This window comes from Homo sapiens, chromosome 11, assembly GCF_000001405.40.
Source record: "Homo sapiens chromosome 11, GRCh38.p14 Primary Assembly".
In the NCBI taxonomy this organism is placed as follows: domain Eukaryota; kingdom Metazoa; phylum Chordata; class Mammalia; order Primates; family Hominidae; genus Homo; species Homo sapiens.
This window is the reverse complement of record NC_000011.10, coordinates 23,417,815-23,427,259: the sequence shown is the minus strand read 5'-3', so window position 1 is coordinate 23,427,259 and position 9,445 is coordinate 23,417,815. Positions and strand designations below refer to the sequence as shown.

General features: G+C 35.2%; 1 non-coding gene across 1 annotated transcript; it reads left to right on the top strand.

The window, feature by feature from the left end:
- The first annotated feature begins 8,069 nt into the window (after window positions 1-8,069).
- On the top strand, window positions 8,070-8,155 carry MIR8054 (microRNA 8054). Its single transcript, NR_107021.1, has one exon. It is a non-coding gene; the product is annotated as a microRNA 8054 (primary transcript).
- Window positions 8,156-9,445: the final 1,290 nt, after the last annotated feature.

Genomic DNA, 9,445 nt, shown 5'->3' with positions numbered 1-9,445 from the left:
GAAACCACCCCCATGATTCAATTACCTCCACCTGGTCCTGCCTTTCACATGTGGGGATTATTACAATTCAAGGTGAGATTTAGGTGGGGATACAAACACAGAGCCAAATCATATCACTCCGTCTCCAAAAAAAAAAAAAAAAAAAAAAACCAGAAGGAGGTGGAGGAGGAGGAGAAATTCCTGTCATGACAACATGGATGAACCTGGGAGGAAATCATGTTAAGTGAAATAAGCCAGGCACAGAATGACAAATACTGCATAATTTGACTCATGTGAAATCTATCATAGTTATCTTACGGAGGTAGAGGGTAGAATGGTGGTTACCAGGGACTGGGTTGGTTGAGAGCAGAGAAGGTGTTGGTCAAATGATACAAAATTTCAATGAGATAGGAGGAATAAGCTTAAGAGTTCTATTGTACAACCTTGTGACTATAGTTTCAAAATATTGTAATTTTGTAAAATGCTAAGATAGTGGAAATAAAGTTCTCACTAAAAAAAATCATAATTATGTGAGATAATGAATATTGCTACTAAGTAGATTTAGTCATTCCACAGTGTACATATACCTCAAAATAATAAGTTGTGCATGGTAAATATGTAAAATTTATGTCAATTTAAAAATATATAAAGATTCTAAAATTCTCAAACATTTCCAACAGGAAATATATTTCTGTCAAGAAACCAAGGGTGGAAGCTGGAGTCATCTCACTTACCATCATTTCTGGAGGCCCAGTGGGGGATTTTGTGCTTTTTGTCTCCACAACTCTTGACTCTGTCAGTTCAAAAATCCTGATCTCCAAAAGGAAACTACTTTCATCAATAATTACACGACTCAGCTACCATGTGGACACAAAAGACATCTTAGATGAAAAAAAGTCATCTATGTATAAGAAACAGAATCACTCCCTAGTTAGCAGTAATAAACCCCGATAGGAGGATGTAGAGATACTGTTACACATTTGGGTGCAGAAAGGAATGACAGTTCCACTGCCCAGTCTCTTTGGTCAATGATTCTTACTATTTTATTTTTCAGTAATGATAGGCTAGGTGTTTCTGATCATGACTTAGCTCATCTCTCTCAGCTTGATCCCTTGCCTAATGAAAAAAATAAAATCTTCTTGCTCTCCTTTTTCAGTTGCTTACTCTGTAATTCATCATAGGTTCCAAGTAAATAAAATGAACCCAGTTGTTACACTTGGGTATTTCTTGAAACACTCGTGGCCAATTATCACCATAAATACATAGCAATAACAACTATGTTCTGAGAACAGCTGAGTAACTAGGACTCAGACTTCTCTGTGAAAGGGTTTAGGTAATCTCACCATGCAAGTTACTAAGGCCAAAATGTTAGGTAGCTGAGGGTGTTTGAAATATAGATTGGACAGAGGAGGAAGGAGATAATTAGTATCATTTTTAGCCCTGAGACAAGCTGTAATTTGTCTAATTTTTATCTTGTATGTGTACTCCTAGAAAGAAGGTGACTCGATAGCTTGAATTAAGGTTCCATCTCTGACACTTAACTTGTCCTGTGTTTTTTAACGGAATAGTCTTTCTGGGCTGCTCCCTGAATTAATATGGAAAAGTGGATCCAAATGCTACAATTGTAGATTCACCATTCATATCTTTTTTCAAAAACACATTTGCTGCACAGCTGCAATTAATTTAGTCAACAGACAGTCTCCATCTGCCAGCTATTTAAGGATATGCAGAAAGCTGCCTTGCCTTGGGGAAGCCACATCCAGTGACTGAGGGAGTCTGGGGTATATATAAACTGAACATTTTCAGTTTTCTGGAGGACACACTGGTAAGCTACACTAACTGCAATGTACCCCATCAAACTGGTCATGTAATTGACTGTTCTACTGCCCAGTCTCTTTGGCCAATGGTTCTTACTATTTCATTTTTCAGCAATGATAGGCTAGGTGTTTTTGATCCTGACTTAACTCATCTCTATCAGCTTGATCCCTTGCCTAATGAAAAAAATAAAATCTTCTTGCTCTCCTTTTTCAGTTGCTTACTCTGTAATTAGTCATAGGTTCCCAGTAAATATAATAAATTCTAAGTGATTCTATTTAAGCTAAGTCTTTATCTGCTTTTTCACAGGCTGTCATAACTACATACCACCTAATTGGTATATTCTTATTTAAGTATATTAGATTTCCTGGCATTTCCCATTCATTATCACTCATCCATATTGAAGTGCTAAAATCATCAGTTTTATTGATTAGAAAAATATTATTCAAGATCAAATAAATCTATTCTAACATAGAGAATATATTACTTATAAGTGTAATTGATATTTATACACACACACAATATTGGGGTAAATCTGGCAAATATACATATAAGTTACTTGCGTCATGATATGAGGGAAGCTATGTATAGCATATATCCTACTTAATTTCACAGCATAATATCAAACCTCCATTATATTTTGTTCACCTATCACAAATCTTATTTTTATAAATGCACTTAGAATAAACAAAGGTATAAATCATTTGTTCTTTTTTACCTGCACAACTTCTATTTTTTCTCTATATTTATATAGAAGACTCATCTTTGACTTCATTTTTTTAAAGTCCTTAGGCAATGCTTAATATATCACATAGTTCTTAAGCTTTGTCTTTTTTATTTATCTTTCATGCCCCAAAATTGCCAAGTAACCTCGATGCTGAATGGGATATGCATAGAAAACCAGTCAATAAGGCACCCACTGTCCAGGAGTGCATGATTCAAATAAAAAGGGTTAACTTAGATCCTAGTTTGATTTGACTTTGACTCAGATTTTTATCCAAAAATGATCTTATTAAGAAATACTGAAAGTTGCTTTGAATAGGTGATTTATATTTTCACATTTTCATTTGTTTATCTTTCTTTTGTTTATTTTATCTAAAAAGAACTAACCAGTTAGTCTTTATTAGAAAGGAAGAAAAGATTCATGAATCACCATTTTAGTCTCCCCAAATTGGAGTCATAGCATTTAAGGACCTGTTAACTAATTGAAAATGGAATTTATATCTCAAAGACCTCTTTTCTCTGTGATCCAAGTTCCAAAGAGCAAAGAAGAAGTGAGCAGGTAGTTTAATATTGTCAGTGTGACTTTTCATGTCAATCTCTCTTTTTCAAGCAAATAAATAGAGTTTTTTTGTTTGTTTGTTTTTGAGACTGAGTCTTGCTCTGTAGCCCAGGCTGGAGTGCAGTGGTGGGATCTCAGCTCACTGCAACCTTCACCTCCCTGGTTCAAGCAATTCCCCTGCCTCAGCCTCTGGAGTAGCTGGATTACGGGGGCATGCCACCATGCCTGGCTAATTTTTGTGTAATTTTGGTAGAGACAGGATTTCACCATGTTGGCCATACTGGTCTCGAATTCCTGACCTCAGGCAATCTGCCCTCCTCGGCCTCCCAAAGTGCTGGGATTACAGGCATAAGCCACCATGCCCAGCCTAATAAGAGCTTTTCTTGGCTGCTGATGCCTTGAGTGCTTTGAAATGGAACCTGCTTATTCTTATATACCCAGTCTTTGTTTCCTTATCCTGCCTCATCTCTTGTACATAGAAAATTTTATTTAGCCATCAAAATCTATCACTCTGCTCCCTTGTCAAGGACATGAAGCTTCATATGAGGCTAATAGTATAATAAAGACAACTGCTACTGTCATAAAATTTATTTTACTTAATTTTGGTCTTGGGGTTTTTATGGGAAGTAGTGGTCCCCTGATAATTATGCTGATCAAATGTCAAGTTTTTTATTGGTTAGTAAATAAAAGTTCAAAAGCCTTACCAGACAGCCTGGCTCTGTTAGCCTTGCCAGATCCCCTTTATTATCCTACAGAGAGTAGGACAAGAAGGCATCATTAAATTTAGATCCAGCAGAAGGCAAATGATGCGGGTAGATGCTTGCATTCCAATTGACCTTCTCATATGGAGATAAAAATTCTGATCCAAACAGCTGCACATATTGAGTTTGTTTTTACAATAGTAATTGAATGTGCATAGAATTATTCTCTTATTTCAGTTGACTGTGTTACTGCCCAATAGTGTACGTGTTCAGAATGGCTGGAATTGAGCCCGTGAAAATGGAGTGAAGAGGAACAACCAGCTTTAATGAAATGCAAACCTCCAGGATCAGATCCTTTGTTCTCTACTCGCTTTAGCTAATTAGCCACAAATATTTTGAAATACATCATTTTGCAATGAAGCAGGCACTTTAGCAGTATAAAATGATTATAAACAACTTAGAACACCAAATTTACAACAATAAAGTATGTTATCCTATTGTTAGATTAATTTTGTTTAATTTCTTAATCTACAAACTAGAAATTTTATTCTTTGTTCTACCTTTCTGAGAAATCTTTCAAGAATCAAAAGGATGGAGATCCAAGCACCCTTTGACCTACAGAAATGTCTGATATCATATTATTAATAAGATGGGATAACAAAAAGTGTCTTTGATACAAATCTAGTGTTAGCTTAGAAGCAGTTTCATAATATCCCAGAATTTTAAAATTCAAATGAACTTTTTGAGAATATTTGTCATTGATAATTTTCTCAGTTTTTGTCATTGAAGATTTTGGGCAGTGTGAGGGTAACTATTGCTCAAATTCATGTACAAAATAAACCTAGAATTTAGTTCTTCAAACACCTAGCCCTGTTCTCTCTCGATTATTCCTATTTTGTTCACAAAAGCCTACACATATTGCATCTGGACCATTATCTTGTGACCACACACACACACGTGCGCACACACACACACATATCTTGGTGACAAAAACAAGCTTTTTACAAAAACAGTGATGCTATTTCCTACTAATTATCATTATCTTCTGCTACATAAAACTTGTCTCTAATCTGCAGAGTGATTTTTTAAAGTTTTCTTTTTTTCTCAATTATTGGTGTTTTGTTCTCTTATTATCTTGGGAAAAATTGGTATAAGATCAGCAATATTGTGTTTACTTTTATACTTATAAATATCACCAATTATTCACCAATTCTAGCTGACATATACAGCGTAAAAATAATATTGATATAAATAAAAATAACTAGAGTAATAAGTTATGACTATGGAGTCTTTACATCTTTTTTTCATGTATAACTCTCATTACAATTGTTTGTGGAAAAATGTATTGCTCACAGTGAATAATCAAAAAAGTAAAGCTTGGAGAATTTGTGACTTAGCACAGTTCTTAGACTTAGATAGCGGAAACAACCAGAAATCAATACTTGAGAAAGTAAAGTCTGATCACTTTCCACACCTCCCAATTGCTTTTTTTTTTTCAGGATCTTAGTATGTTTACACCCCTCTCCTCTGAAAATGCAGTTTTCTTATGTAATTTGGACTTAAATGCTTGAATTTAGCTAGTGAAAACATAGAAAAATGCAGAATACCAAACTGTATTGCGATAACATAATCAATTCTCTTCTCCAAATAATTTTAAAATTAAATACCCCATAATTTATATCCTGTTATTCCCAACATGATTTTGTTGCTATAGACAGCTTTGAAATATAGTGACTACAACCTTATTTTATTAACTGTGAACAGTTAATGATCCAAGCCCCTTACTTTACTGACATAATGGTCCTTCAGAAATCCATTTCCTTCCATCAACCCTGGCCTTGTCTTCAGACATTGAAACAAATTATTTTGTATTTTCTCTAATGTACCATAACTTTGGCTGTGACTACAAGTTTTAATTTTCAATACAGCCAGATTTCATTTGGGGTTCAGTCTAGTGAAGAAAGTTGATTAGCAAGCATGACCATAGTTTCTAAGAATAAGATATCTCTAGTAGATACTCTTAAGACCTTAGACAAACACCAAATTTGAGCTAAGTTACACTCTTGCAAGGTTAATTGCATTTGTCCTTTTAAATAACCTGACACAAATGTACTACTTTAGTGATGTTCTCTACCACTCAGAAACATTTTGTCTCTTTGTTTGATGTTATTAGACTACTACCCTCTAACATTTTGTAATTCACTTTTTCTTTTCATATATATATATTTTTTTTATTATACTTTAAGTTCTAGGGTACATGTGCACAACATGCAGGTTTGTTACACATGTATACATGTGCCATGTTGGTGTGCTGCACCCATTAACTCGTCATTTACATTAGGTATATCTCCTAATGCTGTCCCTCCCCCCTCCCCCCACCCCACAACAGGCCCCGGTGTGTGATGTTCCCCTTCCTGTGTCCATGTGTTCTCGTTGTTCAATTCCCACCTATGAGTGAGAACATGCGGTGTTTGGCTTTTTTTCCTTGCGATAGTTTTCTGAGAATGATGGTTTCCAGCTTCATCCATGTTCCTACAAAGGACATGAACTCATCATTTTTTATGGCTGCATAGTGTTCCATGGTGTATATGTGCCACATTTTCTTAATCCAGTCTATCATTGTTGGACATTTGGGTTGGTTCCAAGTCTTTGCTATTGTGAGTAGTGCTTCAATAAACATACGTGTGCATGTGTCTTTATAGTAGCATGATTTATATTCCTTTGGGTATACACCCAGTAATGGGATGTCTGGGTCAAATGGTATTTCTAGTTCTAGATCCCTGAAGAATCGCCACACTGTCTTCCACAATGGTTGAACTAGTTTACAGTCCCACCAACAGTGTAAAAGTGTTCCTATTTCTCCACATCCTGTCTAGCACCTGTTGTTTCCTGACTTTTTAATGATTGCCATTCTAACTGGTGTGAGATGATATCTCATTGTGATTTTGATTTGCATTTCTCTGATGGCCAATGATGATGAGCATTTTTTCATGTGTCTGTTGGCTGCATAAATGTCTTCTTTTGAGAAGTGTCTGTTATAAAATAGCACATATATTACTATTATAGGTTAATTTTGAAATAAGCAAAACTTTGTGGGGGGGTGTGTGTGTGTATGAGAGAAACAGAGAGAGAGACAGGGAGAGAGGGAGAGAGAGAGAGAGAGAAAGGAAAGAGTTGAAAAGAGAGATAGTGAAGGGAAACTCAGGTTAATCCTAACTAGCACGCTTGGCTTGGAATCAGGGCTTGATTAATTCTGATGGGTTAGATTTGCTTGTGTTAAAATTTAGCTTAACTTCTGTGAGTTACAAATGACTGAGGAACTATAGTTTTCTATAACTGCTTTTGCAATGGCCTGCTTTTCATTCATACCATACTTAAGTTGCTAACCTCAAATGCATCCTCCTCCCAGTAAGCCTGTTCCATACAGTGAAAATGTTCCTGTCTATTCTAGCTTATTTCAGTTCTGATCATCTAGTATCTTAATTATGCTTAGTTTCTAAATTACATGTTGCCAGCATAAAAAATAATCTTCTAAAATTCATTCCATAAAATCTACAAAAAGAACCTGAAATAGCTTAGGAACTCTGTTTACCAATTCCTCTTAAACATTTGCTAGTAAATCAGTAATGATAGTTTTGGTAAAATTTGAGAACATGCTATTGAATTGCACTTTTTCTCCATTTATTAATGTTAAGTGTTTTAATGCTATCCTTTGTGGAGACAAACCCTGTCTCTACCCGATATTAAGTCAAACACAATATAAAGAGGGTGTCTGAAAACAGAACAAATTTTCTAAAATTGAGTATCTTTGTTTTTAAGAAGATATTTTTCTTGGCACTGATAACCACTGAAACAGAAAGGTGCTTTAAAAATTTCTGAAAAATTGTGGGTTTTAGCTAGGTTCTATGTTTAAAGCCAGGGTTTCTTTAATTACTTTGAATAACTTGGCAGACAATTTAGACTAAGTGTGGTATAAGGAGTACTTTAACCTCCCATCCATATTAAAGGTGAGTATAAAAACAGAATGCATGAGGGAGAATGAATTTGGAGGCTTTGGATAGAATGAACATACCTTTCCTCTGAAAGTCATGCTAACAAGCTATGGGATCCTGGGTATATTCCTTCAGTTGGCTATTGGATGCCCAGTCCCTAAACTCCATTAGAAAATAAGACATAAAGTTTCCTAGAGTACAATCAATAATCTGTATTTCCAGTTTCAGCAGGTGACATCATATGCATTTTCCTGCAAGAATTATCCTAAGAATTGTAGTCAAGGGTGGTCAAAGTAGTAACAGCAATGCAGAAAGTACAGATCGGATGGGTTCAATAGATTGCTTTAGCTGAAGCAAGCCTTCCCATTGTACATATCTCATTGTCTTTCAGAAAAACATGTTTTCACAAATAGAAAGAAGCATCACCCACTGTGTATAAAGCTGTTTTCTCACCAGAGGCAATATGAATCTTTGCTATTATCTTCAGTCATCACCATCCTCCTCCTCCTCATCATCATCTTCAAGACTAACATTTACTAGATGGTGCTACATTCTGAGTAATGTACTTCTGAGTACATTACTTGCATTTATTCATTTGGTTGTCACAACATTTCTTTTAGGTACAAAATATTTTATATTCATATTACAGAAGGCAATGCTGAAACAAACTAACACGCAAACATTTTTACACTAATTACTGTATTCAAAATTCAAAAATATTCCATCTGACTCAAGGCTCTTCATAATGAAACTCTTTTCTCCCACTAGTAGTTTTCAAATTAGACAGAAATAGGCTAAAATAATAAAACTTCCATTCATTAATCTGGGGACTATAGTCAAGGAAGAGACATACTAAGTCTCAGTTTCCTCATTTATAAAATTAACTATATAATGTTACCTATGTATGTGATAAAGTTGTGACTTTTAAAGAAAAAGAGTACACAAAGATGCTTCATATAATGTCTGAGAGTGAGAATTAACCTTAAGATACCAAAGTAACGATATTTGTAATTAGTACGTGTGTGTGTGTGTGTGTGTGTGCATGTGAATGTGTCCTGGGCTTGTGTGTATGTGAATGGGCCAAGTAACAGCATTAATCGAATTTGATGTTTCCTTAGAGATTAATTTAAGCACTCTGAAAATCATGTTGATTGATCAGCAGTCAGGAGACTTTTAATTGAAGTGCTTAATTCATTTAGCTAATGTGATAAACAATGCCAGAAGAAACAAGAAATGAAGCTGTCAGGGGTCCAGATATTTCATGACCTTAATTTTGTTTCAGAAAACCACAACTATTTTTTCAACCTTTTTGGTCTTACTTCCCATTCTTATTTGTCCCCACCTCATTTTATTTCCTTTCATTATAAGGAAGAATTGTCAGGAATGAAATCTGAGAAGCAGTGAACAGATCAAGGCATTTCCTCTACCCCCTTTTAATATAAATACTTGATATCCTGAAAGTAAGAATCCCACGATCCCCACCCCTCCAGCCTCTCATTGCAGGTTTTCTCACAAGTGTTTGTTGGGATATGACTGTAAAGGAGTTTTGAGGCATCCTCCCACCTAATACAGCATACAGCACATACATCATTGACTCTGTATTACATTGTATTATTCTGCAATGTTTGCACACTATTAATTTGACAAAGATTACAAAGCCAATCACATCTGTGACA